The 22,482-nt window shown below is 40.4% G+C and overlaps 1 protein-coding gene across 15 annotated transcripts in view, besides 1 other annotated feature; it reads right to left on the bottom strand.

Annotated features, from left to right (window-relative positions):
• CNOT6 (CCR4-NOT transcription complex subunit 6) overlaps positions 1-22,482 on the bottom strand; it is an 83,980-nt gene that overhangs the window by 11,364 nt on the left and 50,134 nt on the right. For 8 of the 15 annotated variants that reach the window (NR_163437.1, NR_163438.1, XM_047417436.1 and 5 more), the window contains 5 exons: positions 16,878-17,064; positions 13,524-13,609; positions 2,402-2,506; positions 2,252-2,320; positions 1,018-1,175 (listed from right to left, as the gene is read on the bottom strand). Coding sequence is in view for 13 of the 15 variants with exons in the window: in XM_047417436.1 (XP_047273392.1) it covers positions 1,018-1,175; positions 2,252-2,320; positions 2,402-2,506; positions 13,524-13,609; positions 16,878-17,064 (605 nt within the window). In the remaining 2 variants the exon portion in view is untranslated. Of the gene's footprint in view, positions 1-1,017; positions 1,176-2,251; positions 2,321-2,401; positions 2,507-12,114; positions 12,182-13,523; positions 13,610-16,877; positions 17,065-22,482 lie in introns of those variants that run through there. The other 7 variants (XM_047417438.1, XM_047417437.1, NM_001370473.1 and 4 more) reach the window with 3 other exon arrangements.
• Positions 18,132-18,426: a silencer, noted in NCBI's record as "tiled region #4663; HepG2 Repressive non-DNase unmatched - State 15:Elon". NCBI's record gives its function as "represses a minimal TATA promoter and a strong SV40 promoter by Sharpr-MPRA in HepG2 cells {active_cell/tissue: HepG2}" and the evidence as "EXISTENCE:reporter gene assay evidence [ECO:0000049][PMID:27701403]".

The raw sequence follows: 22,482 nt of genomic DNA, 5'->3' as shown, positions 1-22,482 counted from the left end.
AAAGGACTGGTCTGCAGATTAAAGAATGTAACATCTTTCCGGGCCGGGCATGGTGGCTCATGTCTGTAACCCCAGCACTTTGAGAGGCCGAGGCGGGCGGATCACTAGAGCCCAGGAGTTCCAGACCAAGCCTGGCCAACATGGCGAAACCCCATCTCTACTAAAAATACAAAAATTAGCCAGGCATGGTGGTGCATGCCTGTAATCCCAGCTACTACGGAGGCTGAGAATCACTTGAACCCAGGAGGCGGAGGTTGCAGTGAGCTGAGATCATGCCACTGCATTCCAGCCTGGGGGACAGAGAAAGAGCCTGTCTCCCCACCACCCAAAAAAAAAAAAAAAAAAAAAAAAAAAGTAACATCTTTTCAACACTATTTATCTGAAACCAACTGGAACAGCGACTTGTCATTTTACAGGTACTAGGTACCAAGGGCAACTCATTGTTGTTTAAGAACAGTGAGTGAAAGACACACTTCTATGCATGTGTATTTCCTTATGTCTTAGAACTGAGGTGGAACAAGAACCACAGAGGTCGACGAACTTTACAAATCATAACTTCAGACCCTTGGGCAGAAAGTAACATGTTCAAGATCATATGAGTGACTATGAGAGTTGCACTGAGAACCCAAAATGTTCGTGTACCAAGTCAGTCCTTTTTACACGGTGCCTTAATTGTTCTAGCAACATGGTCGGCAATGCAAGTTATAGCTTGACCACGCTAGAATTTCAGTAACTTTGCCACCCAATTCAAAAATAGTGCAGGGACGCTGGAGGGAGGAGGAAGGTGAGTATTTAGCGGTCATGGCAAACGCATAAATCCCAGCTTAACACATTTGCCTATTTTGCAACATAGCACTGCAAAGCAAAGCAGGCAGTACTCCCAGGATTCACTAATAACAGAAAAAAGCAGTACTTTAAGAACTACTGAAGCTAAAACTTCAAATGTGTCAGCGTAATGTATTCCTAGTTGCTCCTTCCTTTATCAATGCTAGGTTGACTGTCTTCTGTCTGACTTACCTGAAGACTTACGATATCAGCATTGCAGCTCAAGATTTCTTGAATAATGGCCTTTTTCCTGTAGTCCCAGTTTAGCGCCCATGATGGACAGTAGCCGTATAACTGCCGGGTCGCATATTTATCACAAAGAACATTATAGCACATGACAGAAAACAAGGCTGTAGGAAAGATAACTTTACTTATTCACACATGTGGCAGAAAAAAATATATAATTAATTTCAGTAATGGTTTTCACTTAAATGTTAAGTTTGACCGTATTCATTCAATCTATAGTCACTGAAAAGCTACTGTACGCCACATATGGGGGATAAATAAAAGACGGATAATGCAAGCAGGATAGATAAGTGAACAAGTTAGAATACAATGTACTACCTGCTACAGAGGTAGGCACAGAAGGTCTGGAAGTGAAAAGTCTAAGCTCGTGAGCCCTTCAGTCTCTGAGCCTAACATTCCTCATTTCTATACTCCTTCTACCATGCTACCAACTGTTAATGTAAGATGTGGAAACTGGATAGGTAGTATCCTTAATAGGCATGCCTCATTTTCTTCTACAGCACAACTATTGTTAATTCATGCAAAATGAAAACGGTATCACAGACCAAATTTTGTTACACGCACCATGAAAGCTCCCAAACTATTTACATAGAATTTAGGTTAAAAGGAGATGAGCAGTCATTAGTTCCACTTTCCTCTAAGTAAGGGTTTGGCTCTCTTATAACTCGGTAGTGTCAAATCCATTTGGAACATGCTAGGATTTGGAAACTTCTCATAGAGAAAAATTTGGGTGTATTCATTTTAAGTGAATTTCATCAGTACACTACAGAAGGGTTTCTCAACCAGAGTCGCACTACTGACATTTCAGGTGAAGTCTGTTGTGGGGGCCTGTGCCGTGTACTATAGAATGCTGAGCAGCAACCCTGGCCTCCATCCACCAGACGCCAGCAGCACTTCTCCCCAGTTACGACCATCAAAATTGTCTCCAGACATTGCCAAATGTCCTCTGGGGGATAAACTGCCCGTTTGAGAAGCACTGCTTTATAGCACACTTTCTATATAGCACAATGTAGTATACATAGAGGTCATGTGAGCAAGAATTCTTTTTTATTACCTCCCAAACCAAACCAACCTTAAACATTTTGTCTTAATGCTACCTGTAATCTAAGCATGCTGACAATACTGTTAGGCTTATAGAGACTGAGCAAAAATAACAGTTAAAAAATAAAAGACTACCAACCAGTTGGCCTTGTCCTATCTGGTTCTTGTAACATAATCCAAGACCTTGGAGGTGGTTGTTCTGTTGTAACTAGTTGAATAGAAAATACAGAATTAAGCAATATTCTTACACGTCTTCCTAATAAAAAGGTTTAAACAAATAACCACTTACTTCTTTTTGCAGTACCTGACAAATTATCAAGCAAATAGTTCAGCAGCCGTCTTGTTCCATCTGGTTCCTGATAAAGGTTCAATATATCCTGGGTAAGGGGATTTCCTGGAAATATTTTTGAAATAAGTAAAATGAAACTAAGTAATAAAATGTTTCAAAATTTTAAAATGTATCAAAATTATCAGATCATCCATAACTATGTTATAGTTACTAGTAAGATGTCAGACTATAGAAAATATTGTTTTTTCAGTTTCTGATATAAGTAAAAATGATTCATACCATGTTCTATATACACATTCAAAACATAATGTTAATGGGCTGATGTCAATCAGAAATGCACTAGCAGTGCTCTATATCTGACCCTGCCTTGCCAACACTTTCAATAATACAGATGGTTATAACAAACAAGAGTGAGCAAAACACGAACGGGGCAGGCAGGTGACTGGGAGAGTGGGTGGGCAGAGGAAACAGTGAAGGGAAGGATGAAAGCCAGCGTAATGCATCAGAGAATCAAAACTCTACAATGTCACAAAGCTAACAACAAAACACCCTAATGACAAATATACACTTGCACTTAGATTTTTTAAAGTCATACTGAACAAAGCAACAAAATGGGGCTGACTTGGCTTAAGAATTAACTCACTAAGGAGGGGGAAAAAATCCCAGGGCCATGAGCCATCTGTAAATTCAATAACTGCTTTGTTCCAAAATGAGAGCAAAAACAATGATTTACATATACCTACAAGAATCTCAAATCCTCTCAGAAGGGTTTCTTATGTACATGAGAAATAAAAGTACAAATAACAACAGTGCAGCGCAGGGTTTCATGGAGCAAAGTTCCTATCCATCCTACACAAGCATTGTGTATTATTCTGGATGCCACAGCGCCATTTTAAGAAAACCAGACAAATTCTGCAGTTTGAAGAAGGCAGATAAAATGGTCAAAGATGTTAACCATACCAAATGAAGAAAAACTAAAGGATATGGTAGATAAGAATGATCAAAACCTAAAGGAAGTGTTTTTTCCTATTCTCTCATAAAAGACTGGACTCAAAGAGCAGAAGGAAGACATGCCTGTAATCCCAGCACTTTGGGAGGCCGAGGCGGGCGGATCACGAGGTTAGGAGATCGAGACCATCCTGGCTAACACGGTGAAACCTCGTCTCTACTAAAAATATAAAAGAAAAAAAAAGCAAAAACAAACAAAAAAAAACAGCCAGGCGTGGTGGCGGGCGCCTGTAGTCCAGCTACTCAGGAGGCTGAGGCAGGAGAATGGCGTGAACCTGGGAGGCAGAGCTTGCAGTGAGCCAAGATCGCGCCACTGCACTCCAGCCTGGGCAACAGAGCGAGACTCTGTCTCAAAAAAAAAAAAAAAAATTTAACAGGAAAGGCCAAGGCCGAATAGAAGAGGTTGGCAAACACTGTTAACTATTTGAGACACCCTGTGCTGTGAGGCAGTGGAGTATCCTTCAAAGAAGCTGAGTTGCATGGATGGGAAAAATGGCAAAGTTCATTTATCTTTAAGATCTTTCGGTTTTAAGATTCTAGGATTCTAAGAATTATAAAAAGAAAAATGTGCTGCTCTAAGTGCAAAGTAGGTATTTGCAGGAAGGCAATTACAAGAGTACCATTCTCTCACGTGTGTGTGGTTCTTTATACCCACCACAGCCTTTTCATGTTTTCACTGAGTCACAATCCCGTGAGATAAGCAGTTACAACCTGAAGCTTATCAGGACCCTTTGTGAAACACATCTTGAGAAAATGAAGTCAACTGAAAACTTCTCGGTATCAGGTAAACAGCTCATTCTAACCAGACCTACAGTGATGCTGTTTTCTTTTTCTTATTTTTTTTTTGAGATGGAGTCTCGCTCTGTTGCCCAGGCTGGAGTGCAGTGGCACCATCTCGGCTCACCGCAAGCTCCGCCTCCCGGGTTCACGCCATTCTCCTGCCTCAGCCTCCCAGGTAGCTGGGACTACAGGCAGCTGCCACCATGCCCGGCTAATTTTTTGTATTTTTAGTAGAGACAGGGTTTCACCGCATTAGCCAAGATGGTCTCAATCTCCTGACCTCGTGATCCACCCGACTCGGCCTCCCAAAGTGCTGGGATTACAGGTGTGAGCCACCGCGCCCGGCCAGGACTTCTTTTAAATTGAAAATTAATCTGCTCTTCACTACTTGGAAACAGAAAACAATATATATGAATAAAGTCAATAACAATAAAATTCTGGAATTAAAACTATACTGAGTCCTGAGAAAGAACAAAAAAGTAAATGAGAAGTTACTTTAGGGTAGATGGAGTAAAAACACTTTTCCCTATTCTTCCCACTAGGTACAACTAAAAGCACTGTATATTATGTGTAAAGCAAACACAAAACTCTGAAAAAAGGAGAGAAGGCAGAATAGCCAAAGACTGCAGGACCTGACGAACGGCACAGGGATGAGTTCCCTGGGTTCACTTTTTGCCTCAGATATGCCAGACATGCAGCTAAGAAGCCAGTAACATGGAAATACCAATGGGTACAGACCCAAAAGAATCCCAACAAAAGCCAAAGGACCAGGGAAGGGCTGCCTAAAAGGACAAAAGTTTTAGATAAGAACCACTGTACTCAAGCTTAACACTAAAGAAAAAAACGTGGTCCCATCTCTACCCATGCCAGCATGAGCAAGTGGAGAGGCTGGTAGACTTCTGCTGCAAGAGAAAGAAAGGAGGCGATATGGAGCTCCCTTCCTCCCTCTGAGGTGGTGTCAGAGGAGGCCAAGGAGAGTCAAGACTTTCACCATCTCCCTGCAATAAAGAGGACACGCCAGTGCGGTGCCTGTGGAGGCCGCGTGAAGAGCCAAAACTACCACCTCCACCAGAAGCAACGAGGAGCCCCCACTCCCAGGTGTCAGCGAAGGCCAAGTGGAACCTGAACTTCTACCTCCACTGGCAGTAAGGAGACAGTGCCTGGTTCCCTTGTCACAGCAGTGCTAGGCAAAGAAAACCAAACTAAAGGGTTTAAACAAGATCTAGAGTTTCATAACATGAGTGAGTCCAGTTTCAAATGAAAATAGCTCATCACACCAAGACACGAAGATATCAAATGCAAAAAGATAAACACAACTTCCAACCCTGAGATGACAGAAACAGAATTACCCAACCAAGACAAAGGAATCATGACAAAAATGCTTCAATGAGAAATTAAAAACATGCTTGAAAACACACACACACACACACACACACACACACACACACAAAACACACAAGAAAACAGGAAGACTGAGCAAAGAAACAAAGTTCAGGCAAATAAAACATTTAAAACCAAATGGGAATATTAGAACTGAAAAATAAAATAAATGAAGGCTAGGCACAGTGGCTCATGCCTATAATCCCAGCACTTTGGAGGCTGAAGCAGGAGGATCACTTGAGGCCAGGAGTTCGAGACCAGCTTTGTTAACATGGCAAAATCTCGTCTCTACAAACAAACAAACAAAACTAGCCAGGCATGGTGGCACATGCCTGTGGTCCCAGCTACTTGGGAGGCTGAGGTAGGAGAGCTGCTTGAGCCTGGGAGGTCAAGGCTGCAGTGAGCCAAGATCGTGCCACTGCACTCCAGCCCGAGACCTCGTCTCTTGATTGACTGATTGATTGATAGATAGATAAGAACACAGACCAACACCACCACCACCACCAACAACAACAAAAAGAACAAAGTCTCTGGGGCTTGTGGGACTATAACAAAAGATCTAACATTCATGTCATCAGAGCCTTGGACGCTGAGGACACGGAGGACAGGGCTGAAAAAGTACTCAAAGCAATAATGGCTGAAGATTCTCACAATATGGCAATAAATATAAACCAACAGATTCAAGAAGCACAGTGAACCCCTACACAAGAAAAACCCAAAGGAATCCACAGCAAGACACATCATAATTAAACTTCTGAAAACTAAAGACAAAGAAAAAACATCTTGAAAGCAGCCGGAGAAAAATGACACCTTACCTGCAGGAGAAAAACAAATTGGAATGACGAAAGATTTGTCATGATAAGCCATGGAAGCCAGAAGGAAGCAGCAAAATATTTTTCAGGTGTCGAAAGAACTGTCAAACCCAGATTCTTATATCCAGTGAAAACATCCTTCAGGAATGAAGGAGAAATAAAGACAATCTCAGAGGACAAAAAACTAACAGAATCTGCTGCCAGCAGATCTACCCAAAGGGAACCACTAGAAAAAGTTCTCTAAATACAAAGGAAATGATAAAAGAAGGACTTTGGAAGAAGAAAACAATATAGGTAAACAAAAAAATATGGGCAAATACGAGATTTCCTTAAGTTTTCTAAATCACGTTTGACAGTTTAAAAAATTTTGGCCCAATACGGTGGCTCACACCTGTAATCCCAGCACTTTGGGAGGGCGAAGTGGGTGGATCATGAGGTCAGGAGTTCAAGACCAGCCTGACCAACATGGTGAAACCTCGTCTCTATTAAAATTCAAAAATTAGCCGGGCATGGTGGTGGGTGCCTGTAATCCCAGCTACTTGGAAGGCAAGGTAGGAGAATCGTTTGAACCCAGGAGGCGGAACTTGCAGTGAGCCGAGATCGCGCCACTGCACTCTAGCATGGGCAACAGAGCGAGACTCTGTCTCAAAAAAAAAAAAAAAATCATAAAACTAATGTGATTCTAAATTTATGTAAAGAAAATATTCTGAACTGTTATCAATGGCAGTGAATAAAAGGATGTAAAGAGAGCTAAGGTTTGATATTTCCCTTGAACTGGTAAAATAACCCCCAATAGACTGTGGTAAGTTATACATCTAGTGTGATACCCAGAGGAACCATGAAACATCTATACAAACAGACACACTCAAACCACTACAGAAAAATCAAAATGGAATCTAAAAAATGTTTCAGTAACCCATAGGCAGGCAGAAGCAAAGAGAAAAAGACAAAAGATGAAGAAACAGAAAACAAAAAAATAAAATGGCAGACTTACGACTTACACCCTAACTTACTAATTAACTTTAAATGTAAATGGTCTAAATATACCAATTAAAAGACTGGTAGAATGGATTTAAAAATATGACCCAACTATATACTGTCCACAGAAACTCACTTCAGATGTAATAATAGAGGCAAGAAAGGAATGGCAAGAGATATATAATGCAAAAGTTGATCAAAGGAAAGCAGGAGTGGTTATATTAATATCAGATAAAGTGGACATCAGAGGAAATAAAATTGCCAGAGATAGAAAATAACATTATGTAATAATAAAGGCTCAATCCCTCAAGAAGACACAGCAATTCTAAGTGTGCTTCCAAACAAGAGAAGCACAAAATATTTTATGCAAAAACTGAGAGAACTAAAAGGAAAACAGAGTCTACAATTATTGTTGGAGACTTTAACACTTCTCTCTCCACAACTGACAGAACACGACAAAAACCTCACTACCATCGACCTAACAGACATTAAGTTAATATACAGGAGCTAATAGATATTTATAGAACATTCTACCCAAAAACAGAAAACACATTCTTTTCCAGTACCCAAGAAACATATGCCAGGATGGACCATATCCTAGGCCATCAAACAAACTTCAACAAATGGAAAAGAATTGAAATCACACAGAACGTTCACTTTCTGACCACACTGAAATCATATTAAAAATCGAGAACCAAGCCGGGGGTAAAGTGCTTGTAGTCCCACCTGCTTCAGAGGCTGAGGTGGGGGGATTGCTTGGGCCTCAAGAGTCGGAAGCCAACCTGGGTAACACAGCCAGACCTCGTCCCAAAATAATAAACAAACAAATAAAATATACTGAGCTAGTGAAAATAAAAATACAAATATCAAAATTTGTTGCTGGACATAGCTTCTAAAGCAGGGTTGGGAGGAAAATTTCTACATTAAATGCATGAAGACAAAAGTCTCAATAAAGACAGAAGCCTCAATTCAATAATCTAAGCTATCGCCTCAAGAAGCTAGGAAAAAAAAAAAGCAAACACAAGAAGGAAGGAAGGAAATACTAAAGAGCAGAACTCAATGAAATAAAAGTCTCCATATTGTTTCTGTCTAAAAAGCAATAGCAGGTTTTTTGTTTTTTTTTTTAAGGTGTTTCTGCCGAAGGAGGGCGCGCCTTCCTGGGCTACGCTGGAAAGCACTAGATACCAGGCCGCGGCTTTAGGTCACACTGTGAGGAGCAGGGGGCCCAGTCCGGCCAGCCCTAACCGCCCAAGGTCTCACTCTCCACAGGGGCCTCCTCCCGTGGCATGGATCCTGCACCAGACTCTCCATTCATCACGCCTCCAGTTATCCAGGTCCTTGCCATCTCCCTCTCCTCCCATGCGTCTGTCTTGGCCTCTGAGACTAAAGAACATTTCTTTTCTCCTCTCTGTGGACCACGTCCTGACAAAAGTGCCTCATCACTAGACCCCAGTAGCCTGGAGTGTGTTCCCTGTGGCCACGCACAGCTGTACCCTTCTGAGGCTCAAAGAGCCGATTCCTTCCTGGGGCCTCAGAACTGGTTTTGCAGATGTTGGCGGAAGGATGGACACATAGATCAATGAAACAGAATAAAAAATCCAGAAACAGATTCACACAGATATGCTCAACTGATTTTTGCCAAAGATGCAAAAGCAATTCAATGAAGGTAAGATCATCTTTCAATAATGCTGCTGGAGCAACTGGACATCGACAGGCCACACACACACAAAAAGAACCTTGAGCTAATCCTCACATCTTTTAACTCAATCGTAAGTCAAAATGGATCATAGACTTAAATGTAACATAAGACCATAAAACTTTTAAAAGAAAACCTAAGAGGAAAATCTTTGGGACTTAGAGCTATTCAAAGAGTTCTTAGACTTGAAACAAGAATCAGGATCCACAGAAGAAAAAACTGATAAACTGGGCTTCATTAAAATTAAAAACTTTTGCTGTGCAATGACCTTGTAAAAAGCTACATACTGAGAGAAATATGTGTAAACCACATATTCCACCAACGACTCGTACCTAGAATATATAAAGGACTCCCAGTAAAAAAGCAAATAATCTAATTAGAACATGGACAATGACAAGAAGAAATGTCACAGAAGAAAAACATTACAGATGACAAATAAGCACCTGCAAAGATGTTGGGTATCTTTATTGGGGAAATGTAAATCAAAACCATGAAATGACTACACATCTACCAGAATGGCTAACATAAAAACAGTCACAACACCAAATGCTGGTGAGGATGCAGAGAAAGTGAATCACTTTACAATGTAAAGCAGTACTTACACTACAGAAAACCACTTAGCAATTTCTTAAAAAATTAAATATACAACCCTCAAATGACCCAGTAACTGCACTCCTGGACATTTATCCTAGAGAAATGAATAACTATATTCACACAATAACCTGCACACTGAATGTTCACAGCAACTTTATTTGTAACAGCCCCAAATTAGAAGCCACCCAGATTTCCTTCAGCAGGTAAATGGTTAAACTAACCACGAGACATTTATATCATAGACTACTACTTTTGTCTATTTAAAGGAACAAACTATCAATACATGCAACCAGGACAAATATCCAAATAATTAACCTGAGTGGAAAAGCCCATCTCAAAAGACCGCATACAGTATGATTCCATTCAGTAGCATTCTTTTTTTTTTTTTTTGAGACGGAGTCTCGCTCTGTTGCCCAGGCTGGAGTGCAGTGGCACGATCTCGGCTCACTGCAACCTCCACCTCCCAGGTTCACGCTATTCTCCCACCTCAGTCTCCCGAGTAGCTGGGACTACAGGCACCTGCCACCATGCCTGGCTAATTTTGTTTTTGTATTTTTAGTAGTGACGGGGTTTCACCATGTTAGCCAGGATGGTCTCGATCCCCTGACCTCGTGATCTGCCTGCCTCAGCCTCCCAAAGTACTGGGATTATAGGCGTGAGCCACTGCGCCCGGGATGGTAGCATTCTTAAAATAGCAAAACTTAGAAGCAGTGAGCTGGGGCAGGAACAAAGTAGGTGTGGCTATAAGAGTGTAACAAAAGGATCTTCTGGTGATAGAGATGTTCTACATCCTTTTCTAAATGGACATATAATTGTGTATGTTTATGGGGAACAATGTGATGTTTCCACACAGTTATGCATTGTGGAATGATCAAATCAGGCTAATCAACATATCCACCACCTCGAATACTTATTTGTGGTGAAAACATTTAATATCCATTCTTTTAGCTGTTAAAAAATACACATTATTATTAACTATAGTTACTATGCTATGCAACAGATCACCAGACCTATTCCCCCTGTGTAAATGAAACTGCGCACCCTCTGACCAACACCTCTCCTTTCCACTCTGTCCCCCGTCCCCAAGCCTCTGGGAACAACCATTCTACACTCTACTTCTATGAGTTTGACTTTTAAAGACTTCACACATAAATGAGATCATGTTGTATTTGTCTGTGTCTGGCTTATTTCACAAAATATTCTGTGTCTTGACTGTTCTATGTACGATAACGTGAAACTATAGTTTTGAAAGATGCTACTATTGGAGGGAGTTGGGTAAAGGGGATAGGATTGTTCTGTATTATTTCTTGTAAGTGCATGTGAATCTACAAGTATCTCAAAATAAACAGTTTAAGGAAAAAAAGTGAATGGGCACCTAAGGTCACAGTCCTGCCTTTAACTGTAGTACTGCGGCACAATTTTGAAGAGTATTTAAAAATGTGGGGGGAAAAAGTGAAGCCTGCCAGCCATTCTGCAACAACTTCAAAGAAAATGGTATGAACTGATTCATGAGGCAGAAATACTTTGGTTCTGCAAGAATGTATGACGTATAATAGCAAACAAACATGACTCTGAACTAAGTGATATTATTTTCTCTCTTCCAAGCGGATGCCGGGAGAAATCAATGATAGTTTTCAGAGGGCAAAGATGATACAATTGCTTTAAGAAGTAAAGCAGCAGCTCTACCCCCAAACGGATCATTCCACCCAATGTTCCGACACAACATTAGAATTAAAGTGTAAACTGCAAAAGCTCAGAAAAAATAAAAGGATTTGTCCAAAGGAAGTAAAACCAGTAAAAGAAGACTGCTATTACAGATGTGTAATGCTGTCCAGCAGGATATGTGAGATAAGCAAATGTCTCTTTGAAACTACACTTCCAAGAAATAAACACAGATGTCTAGAGGTGATAAAGTAAAGCATCTGAAATGGAAAAGCAAGGGATCATCAAAAATGAAGGAGTCATAAAGAACTGCCCTACTGCTGCAGGCATTTACACTTAGAGGCTTTCCTGTACATTAAATCAGTATGAAAATTTATGGCCTGGTGCAGTGGCTCACGCCTGTAACCCCAGCAATTTGGGAGGCCAAGGAGGGCAAATGACTTGAGGTCAGGAGTTTGAGACCAGCCTAGCCAACAGGTGAAATCTCGTCTCTGCTAAAAACACAAAAAATTAGCTGGGCATGGTGGTGGGTACCTGTAATCTCAGCTACTCGGGAGGCTGAAGCAGAAGAATTGCTTCAACCAGGGAGAAGGAGGCTGCAGTGAGCCGATATCATGATGCCACTGCACTCTAGCCTGGGCGACAAGAGACTCTCTCTCAAAAAAAAAAAAAAGCAAATTTGTGACTGGTGACCCTAACTTCAAATAAAGTTTGTGAAAAGCCTTAGTGAGTACGAATTACAAATTACAGTTTGTAAAATATATAGTGTAAGATTAGGAAAACCTTGAATTGGAAAAACATACCTCCGCCATGAGGAAGACTGGAAGAACAAAGAGGGTCTCAACATTCTGTAATGTTCCATTTCTTTTGCATTAAAAAAATTATACACAAAAATGATAAAGTATTCACTGTTAATTCTGGCAGTCAGTATATGGACACTTTGCCACACAGTACTTTTCTGTTCTTCAAATTTAGAAACAGCTAGACTGGGAAATATAACAGAAAAGGGCATCTTCATCTTGCATTTCACTGGCCTTTATATTTAGAAGCCTTAGCTAGTTCAGCCCACACAGAAAAAAAATTACAAACCATTTACAATGTTGATATCTGTTGAATATGACTTTCCGTACATTTTAAAACATATATTTCTATTTATTTAAAAAAAACTGTTCTTTTATGATATATAAAATATTTACAGGACTAAAACCTTTTATATAACTGTATTTTTAAGAAACTAAGAGTGCAATTCCTTTTTTTTTTTTTTTTAAGACAGAGTCTCGCTCTGTCACCCAGGCTGGAGTGCAATGCCACAATGTCACCTCACTTCAACCTCTGCTTCCCAGGTTCAAGCAAGTCTCATGCCTCAGCCTCCCAAGTAGGTGGTACTACAGGTGGGAACCACCATGCCAAGCTGACTTTTGTATTTTTGGTAGAGATTGGGTTTTGCCATGTTGCTCATGCTGGTCTTGAACTCTTGGCCTCAAGATATCCACCCACCTCAGCCTCCCAAAGTTTTGTGATTACAGGTGTGAGCCACTGTGCCCGGCCTAAGGGTGCAAATCTTGACGACTTCATCTAGTGACTTTTTTGAAGAAGCAACTGTACAGTAGGCTAGACACACCTACCCAAGGCTGGTGAAGAACTGCTTAACATGATAAAAAATTTATAGGCATTGACATACTGTCAAAATATAACTTTCAATATTGTTGGCTTAAAAAATATTTATTTCCTAATAGTTCTTGCTGGATCAATTATGGCCCTATAATCACAAGTCCTCATAAATCAAGTTTTTTTAAATATGCTTAAATCTTGATCATCAGCAGGTTCAAATGGTCAACATTTTCGACTTCCTGTTTTCTGTACTATATGAGAGGCTCCATGTTTTTTGAGATTTGAATCTAAGAAAAACAGCTGTTTATAACATGATGAAATAAAGCATAGCCTCAGGGATGTATCACCAGAACACAGGGTTTATTAAAACAGAGGCTAGAAAAGAAGGGCTGGGTCCGGAGCAAAAAAAAAGAAAACAAAGACTAGTAGATAGTCTACAGCTGAACAGAGAAGATAAAACCATTGCGATATAGCTAAGAAACTGATGAAGTCTGGGGGAAAATGAGTCTTTAAAAGAATCCCCTAGCAGAAAGCTTCTTGGCTTCTTTAGATTCAAAGACATATACACAAACCATAAGAAGTACAAATATGGAAGTCATACCTTTCAGGCCTAAAGTCTGCAACTGAAACAGTTTTCCCAGCTCAAAAGGTAGAACTCGTAACAGGTTGTTATTTAAATGGAGCTCCCTGTTGATGTAAAAATTCCAGGAAGTCAGAAAAATATGTTAGCCTTTAACAGTTAAAATCAACAACATAGTTTCTAGGAACATAAGCACCTAAGAATGAAAAAATGTTACGTTATATTTCAATGTCTAGTACTGCGTTTCTTAAATAACATGTGGTTTAAAAAAAAAAACTGCCAGAGAATACAAGAAACAAATTACTAGAGAAAATGAAATAATGGGGGAAAAGGACAAAATGTAAGACCCAATTTTTAAAAAGTATTAGATTTAACAGACATATAAAATTCCTCAACTGCTGTATTAATCTCACTGCAGACTGGCAAGACAGTTTGCAAACTGGCACCAGGTCACAGACCACACTGAGTATCACTGGTCTAGTACACATGGGGTCTACTACACATTTAAGAAAGTGGAAATGATAAAGCAGCCTACCATGTGAATTCTTAAAAGAGAACTAAAATGATCATTTCGTTAACGACTCAAAAGAGCTCGTAACAGCTGCATAATTAAGCTTATGATTGCTATCAACTAAAGTTGCATTTAAAAAATAACAGCAGCTGTATTAACTGTTCATGATTATTCTTAATATGATTTGTTTTGCAGAGATAATCATGATATAAATATCAAAGGAACCTTCAAGGGTGAGCCGGGGGGACACGCGGGGAAAGAACCACCAGAGACCCAATACGGACACAGTGGCAATGTAACGCATGCAGTTTTATTTTTCAATTTTTTTTTTTTTTTGAGACGGAGTCTCGCTCCATTGCCCAGGCTGGAGTGCAGTGATGCGATCTCGGCTCACTGCAAGCTCCGCCTCCCGGGTTCACGCCATTCTCCTGCCTCAGCCTCCCGAGTAACTGGGACTACAGGTGCCTGCCACCACACCCAGCTAATTTTTTTTTTTGTATTTTTAGTAGAGACGGGGTTTCACCGTGTTAGCCAGGATGGTCTCGATCTCCAGACTTTGTGATCCGCCCGCCTCGGCCTCCCAAAGTGTGCTGGGATTATAGGCTTGAGCCATCGTGCCCAGCCTATTTGTCACTTTTTAAGTGTGCAAGAAATCTATTTCTATAATCTTTGGTTTTTGACATTTAAATGAATCTTGGTTACTGAGCAAGCCAGAAGGTCTGTGTGGCTGTAAACTCAACAAGAAGAGCAAGTTCTGATATCTGGCTCCTGTTTATTTCCAAATACAATATACAGAAAAAAGGAGGTCCCTCGGGCTGGGCACGGTGGCTCACGCCTGTAATCCCAGCACTTTGGGAGGCCGAGGCAGGCAGATCATTTGAGGTCAGGAGTTTGAGACTAGCCTGGCCAACATGGTGAAACCCTGTCTCTACTACAAATACAAAAATTAGCTGGGCATGGTGGCACACGCTTGTAATCCCAGCTACTTGAAAGGCTGAGGCAGGAAAATCACTTGAACCCGGAGGCAGAGGTTGCAGTGAGCCGAGATCACACTATTGCACTCCAGTCTGGGCGACAAGAGTAAAATTCCGTCTCCAAAAAAAAAAAAAGAAAAAGAAAAAGGAGGTCCTTCAAGTAAATTTGTTTCAGAGGACTAAAAACAGTCATAGAACAAACTCAATTAAACCTAAAAAAAAGTCAAAAGGCTGGAGTAGGAGCAATAGAGGCAAAGACCTTTCAAAAGGTCCTTATTCCTTTTTACTACATGGCTAATGGCAGAAGGCAGCAGGAAAGCCAGTGGAACCATGTCAAAAAGTCAGTTAACATGAAATAGTACAAAATATTCCATTGGGATTAACATAATACATGGAATTTAGCTTTATATTAACTTGGTTAGATCTTATCTACCTTATAAAACAGAAGTAAAATAATAATAATAATCATGGGCCAGCCACAGTGGCTCATGCCTGAAATCCCAATTCTCTGGGAGGCCAAGATGGGAGGATCTTTTGAGGCTAGGAGTTTAAGACCTGCCTGGGCAACATAGTGAGACCCTCATCTCTATCAAAATAAACATAGCAATGACCATTTCTTTTCTTTCTTATTTTCTAGAGGGGAGGAGGGTAGAGACAGGGTCTTGCTCTGTCACCCAGGCTGGAGTGCAGTGGCATGATCTCTGCTCACTGCAACCTCAACCTCCTGGGCTCAAGCCATCCCTCCACCTCAGCCTCCCAAGTAGCAGGGACTACAGGTGCATGCCACGAAGCCCAGCTAATTATCTGGGGATTTTTTTTTTTTTTTGTAGAGACCAGGTTCTCGCTATGTTGACCAGACTGGTCTGAAACACCTGGGCTCAAGCAATCAGCCCGCCTCAGCCACTCAAAGTACTGGGATTACAGACATGAACCACCACATGCAGTCTGCAATTACCATTTCTTAAAACACAGTATATGCCAGGCAAGGTACTAGTGTTTTTTTACCCATTATCTCAAACATCCCTTATCCTGGGTCAAGAAGGTTGTCCAAGATCACACAACTCATAAATGGCAAAGTTAAGATTCCAACCTGAACTTACACATGTGAATCCAAATGCTATATATTTCATGCTACAGGCCCCCAAATTTAATAATTATAGCTCCTTCAAGTCCAGGCTTTACTACTATCAAACATACAAGCCCTGGGATGGCAAAAAGGTTTCACCAACTGGCAATGGTTTCCTGGACCCTGTGTTAAGGATGGTATGGTGCCCTGTTTGTCATGAGGAAGTATGTGGGATAACATAAGCACCTTGCAGTCTACCCACTCTCTGTCCAAACTTTCTCATTCAAAAATAAAGTCTATTACACAAAATACAGTAATTAAAAAATTCAGCCAATGATCTACTTAATTTATTATTAGCTGACATTCAATTTTCCCAAAAACAAAACTATAAAGTTATAAAGGATATAGTTATGTTTCCTTTTATTCAAATACCATTAAATGAACAGTTTTGTTTCCTAACACAACAAATGTTTTTTTGTTTTTGTTTTTTTTGAGATGGACTCTCGCTCTGTCACCCAGGCTGGAGTGCAGCGGTGTGATCTCGGCTCACTGCCACTCCACCTCCCGGGTTCACACTGTTCTCCTGCCTCAGCCTCCCGAGTAGCTGGGACTACAGGTGCCCGCCACCACGCCTGGCTAATTTTTTGTATTTTTAGTAGAGATGGGGTTTCACCATGTTGGCCAGAATGGTCTCGATCTCCTGACCTCATGATCCTCTCGCAGCCTCCCAAAACGCTAGAATTACAGGCATAAGCCACTGCGCCCGGCCTATATTTTGTTTTAGGGGTCATATAGCTAGTATGTATTAAGTTGAATCTGCATACCTGAGTGATACCATGTTTCCGAGTTCTGCGGGTAAGCTACGAATTTTATTAGATGACAGGTCCAAATACACCAGATTGTGAAGCTTGGCAATGTCTGAAGGAATTCGGGACAGGGAATTGTCACTCAAATGCAAAGCTGTCAGGTGAGTTAGTGACCACAAAGATGCGCTTAAGCTTCTTACTTTTCCTGTAAGAGAAAAAAATACAGGAACGGATTATATAGTTTTCTCTACATTTTGTTCTGTAGATTTCAGTAAGATTTAGATGTTTTTATGAGTAACTTAAATTATTATCCAAAAACTTGTGAGAAGGGGTTAACAGGAAATCTTACCTATTCTACGATTCATTGCTATGATTAAGTTATAAGCTCCTCACTTAGCAGGTTAAAATAAAAAGTTAATGTACCAATACTACTTAGAGTGCATCTTTATTTTTAGGAGCACAAAAATAATTTATCCTTTTTTTTTTTGAAACGGAGTCTCGCTCTGTTGCCCAGGCTGGAGTGCAGTGGCGTGATCTGGGCTCACTGCAAGCTCCGCCTCCCGGGTTCATGCCATTCTCCTGCCTCAGCCTCCAAGTAGCTGGGATTACAGGCACCCGCCACCATGCCCGGCTAATTTTTCTCTATTTTTAGTAGAGACGGGGTTTCACGGTGTTAACAAGGATGGTCTCGATCTCCTGACCTTGTGATCTGCCCGCCTTGGCCTCCAAAAGTGCTGGGGTTACAGGCATGAGCCACTGTGCCCGGCCAAATTTATCCTTTAAAATGATCTCAGATATGAGAGGGAAATATGATTAATTTATAGTAATGATAAATCCAATATCTGAACGTCATGACTGGTTTGGACTTATGCAAAATAACACAAATTCTACTATCTCAGAGGCTGTTCATATCTCCAGAAAACAAGAATTTTGCCTAAAAACAAAAAGGAACACAAGGTACTCTTAGCTGAGTTTTAAGAACTGAGTACCCTAGTGATAACTGCATGAAGAACCACATGGCTAAGCAGCATTTTGTATTATATGGTAACAAGTAAAAACACTTGCCCAGAAACGCTTCAGATAGTAAGTCAGACCTTTATAATCAAATAGTAGTAGGCATAAGATTCAGTGACTAAGAACAGAATGATAAAACCTTTCAATGCAACAGTAAATCTGCACTTTGACACTTCTTGATAAATTGTCAATGGTTTCTACAATCTAAGAATGTTCCCCATAATCTCCTTACTGGTTCAGGATCTAATCTGAGAGAGAATGAAACAAATGTAATAAAAACATACCAGTCTTTCAGAACTGATTAATTTTCTATTGGCTGAAGAAAACGCGACCTTGAGACTTCCAACCAAGATAAGAGTAACAGGAACTAAATTTACCATGCCACCTGTGACAACCATCGTATCAGATAATATACATGAATCAGCAAATTTCTAAGATGAGACACCAACCAATGCAGGAGAGTCATTCCTGAAGGGTGGGAAACAAACAGGGTAGACCCTATAACTGTCTCAGCTTACTCCTTGGACAGCACTTACAGGAGGCAGCCCAAGGAGGGGAATCCCAGGTAGAGGACAGTGATCCTCCCTGAGTTCCAGAGACAGAAAGTCCAGGGAAGCCAAGGTGATTAGAAATCAAGAGGCAGAACATCAGAGAGAAGAGAAGAGAACAGAGAGAAGTCTGGAGATCTGATGGGGCCCCCCACTCCCTGGCTCAAGTTGTCAACAGGGTATTGATCGACACATGCATGTGAGAAACTACCTGAGCCAGAGGGAAAAAAACACCTGAAAGGATGGTGGAGGCAGCAACCCCCAAGTTCACACAGAACTGAGGCTAGACTTCGTTCCTAAATGTCAGAGGAAGGACTGCTAAATGGGTACAGCGTTCGTTTTTGGGATGATGAAAATGTTCTGATTGTGGCAAATGTGGCACAACTCTGTGAATATACAAAACCCACTAAACTGGCACTTTAAATGGGTGAGCTGTACAGTGTGTGAATTGTATCTCAAGGTATTACACAAGAAAAAACAGCAGAAAATGTCTATGTTTGATGAAAACTCTAAACTCACAGATACAAAAAGCTTAATGAGGGCAGGATGCGGTGGCTCATGCCTGTAATCCCAGCACTTTGGGAAGCTGAGGCGGGCAGATCACCTGAAGTCAGGAGTTCAAGACCAGCCTGGCCAACACGGTGAAACCCCATCTCTGCTAAAAATACAAAAATTAGCCAGGTATGCTGGTGGGCGCCTGTAATCCCAGCTTCTAGGGAGGCTGAGGCAGGAGAACCGCTTGAACCCGGGAGGTGGCGGTTGCAGTGGGCTGAGCTGGTGCCACTGCACTCCAGTCTGGGCGACAGAGTGAGACTCCAGTTCAAAACAAACAAACAAACAAACAACTCCATGAACTCAAACGTATGAAAATTTCATAAAAGAAAATTACATGTACATCTTAACCAAATGGCTTAAAAGAGAAAATCTAAAAAGCCACCAGAGGGGAAAAACATTTCATATGGGAGGAGCAAAGATAAAATGCAGCAGACTCCCAGCTGTAAACAATAAGAGAGACTGACAGAGGAGCACAATTTTCTTTTCTTTTCTCTTTTTTTTCATGGAGTCTCGCTCTGTTGCCCAGGCTGGAATGCAGTGGCGCGATCTCAGCTCAGTGCAGCCTCTGCCTCCCAGGTTCAAGCGATTCTCCTGCCTCAGCCTCCTGGGTAGCTGGGATTACAGGCGCCCGCCACCACGCCCAGCTAAGTTTCATATTTTTAGTAGAGATGGGGTTTCACCATGTTGGCCAGGCTGGTCTCGAGCACCTGACCTCAGGTGATTTGCCCACTGTGGCCTCCCAAAGTGCTGGGAATACAGGCGTGAGGCACAGCGCCTGGCCAGGAGTAAAAACTTTACTGTAAGGAAAAAAAAAATCCTGTCAACCTAGCAAATTACCAAAAATAGCTTCCAAAAATGAAGGCAAATTAACTTCTGACAAAGCTTGAGCAACCCTAATCCAAAATGCTCCAAAACCTGCAACTTTCTGAACAATGACATGAAATAGTGACTTCCTTGCTTTCTGATGGTTCAATGTACATAAACTTGGTTTCACGTACAAAATTTAAAACATTGAATAAAGTTACCTTCAGGCTATTTGCATAAAGTATGTATGAACCATAAATGAATTTCAAGTTTTAGACTTGGGTTCCAACCCCAAGATATCTCATCACATACATATATGTAAGCATTCAAAAATAAAAAATAAAAAAATCTGAAATCCAAATCACTTTTGATCCCAAGGGATATTCTAGTTAAGCAATACTCAACCTGTATAGAAAAGGTGAAATGATTCATTGCCAGTTGATCTACCTGATAGGAAATTAGAGAAAATTCTTTAAGCAGAAGAAATAAAATACCAGATGGAAATCTACATTAACAGAAACGAACACCAGAAATAGTGAATACGTGGGTATGTATGAGATTATTTTCTCTACAACTATTTAAAATGTAATTGACTACTTAAAGCAATATTAGAAATAAGATAACGTGGGTGTTATGACATATGCAGAAGTGACACATCACAAAGAAATAATGGATGGGAGGAGGAAACAAAAGTGTACTGTTGGGCTATTATCTGCATGTAAAGAGGTGTACTAGTACTTGACAGCACACTGTGGTAAGTATAAGACACCATAAACCCTAACTAATAAATCGAAGAGTTATCGCTAAAAGTCAAACAAAGGAGGTAAAATGGAATGATTTAAAAAAAGCTCTATTATTTCAAAACAAGACAGTGAAGAAAAAATAGAAGAAGCTTTATTATTTCAAAACAAGAGAGTGAAGAAAAAATAGAACAAAGAATAAATGATATGAATAAAAAAATAGCAAGATGGTGAATTTTAAATTTAACCATAGAAATAACCACATTAAAATCAAATGGTTGGGCTGGGTGCGGTGGCTCATGCCTGTAATCCCAGCACTTTGGGAGGCCGAGGCGGGTGGATCATGAGGTCAGGACATCGAGACCATCCTGGCCAACATGGTGAAACCCCCATCTCTACTAAAAATACAAAATTAGCCAAGCAAGACTCTGTCTAAAAAAAAAGAGAGAGAAAGAAATAAAACATAATTTTCAAACCGAGTGAAAGATCTAACAGACACTTCACCAAAGAAGATATAAACAGATGGCAAATAATCACATGAAAAGATGCTCAAAATTGGGAGTCATTAGGGAAATGCAAATTTAAACCACTCTGAGATAGCACTACATACCCAGAAGAATGGCTAAATTTAAGACTTGTGTTGGTGAGGGCATGGATCAAAGACATCTAGTAGGAATATGAAACAAGACATCTTTGCAAACCAGATTCAGTTTTTTAAAAAGTTAAACATACACTTACCATATGATCAATTCCATTTTTTAGGAAATAAAAGTTATGCCCACACAAAGGGGAATGTTCACGGCAGCTTTATTTGTAATAGTCAAATATTGGAAACAACCCAAGTGTGTTCAACAGGAGAACAAATAAACAAATGCTGGCGTAGCCATACAATGGACTACTACTCAGTAATAAAAAAGAATGAACTACTAAAAACCAACAAAACACTATGGATGAACTACAGGATAAGTATAGAGGATAAGAGCAGACCAAAATCACCAAAAACAACAAAAAAAATGCAAGGTGTCCATTTTCATGAAAAAAAGAAAAAAGGGTACATACTGTATAACATCATTTATACAAAAATTCCACAAAATGCATACTAATCTATGGTTATAGAAAGCAGAACAGCGGTTGCTTAGAAATAGGGGAAGGAATGGAGAAACAGGAGAGGTGGGGAAGGAAGGATCACAAACTTTCAGGATCGATGAATATGATCATTCTTGATTGTGGTGATGGTTTCACGGGTGTACACAGTCAAAATATACACATTATTCACTTTATACACGCCAATTTTGAATGTCAACTAAACTTCAGTAAAACTGTATAATAAAATCTATCTTAATCTAAGAAGGTATTTCCCTTACTTTGCTATAAACAGAACAGACACCATACCACAAGCTATTTGTAGAACAAAATTTTATTTACTTAATTTTCCATTCATAAAACTGAAAACACACAGCTGATATTCAATATGAATAAGGCATTTAATATAAAACAATTTGTTGTTTTTTTGAGACAGGGTCTCATTCTGTCACCCAGGCTGGAGTGCAGTGGTGTGCTTGCTCATAGCTCACAGTAGCCTTTAACTCCTAGGCTCACGTGATCCTCCTGCTTCAGCTTCCCAAGTAGCTGGAACTACAGGCGTGAGCCACTGCGCCTGGTTCCCTACTAAGTTTTCTGTGTCTTTGCCCTCTTCACTCAAGAGAGGGGAAGGGTATGCCTAAAGAAGCAAACAGAGCTCCTGAATGGAGACATACAACTTCTACGGATTTATGGCGGTTCATTTTCAAAGCCTGCCAATTTGTATAGCTCCTTTTCCCATACAGGGTGATCATAATTCCATCTGCCAGAAAAATAAGCTGACAATTCAAGAAGGTAGAAGGTAGCCAGAAAGAAAACCACAAAGTCTGGGAATAAGGGAAAGGAAAAAAAGCCAAGTAAAGGAATAAATCATATATGAGG

The sequence above is a fragment of the Homo sapiens genome, chromosome 5 (assembly GCF_000001405.40).
Source record: "Homo sapiens chromosome 5, GRCh38.p14 Primary Assembly".
Taxonomy (NCBI): domain Eukaryota; kingdom Metazoa; phylum Chordata; class Mammalia; order Primates; family Hominidae; genus Homo; species Homo sapiens.
Note: the sequence above shows the minus strand (reverse complement) of the source record. Positions and strands in the feature narration are given on the sequence as shown.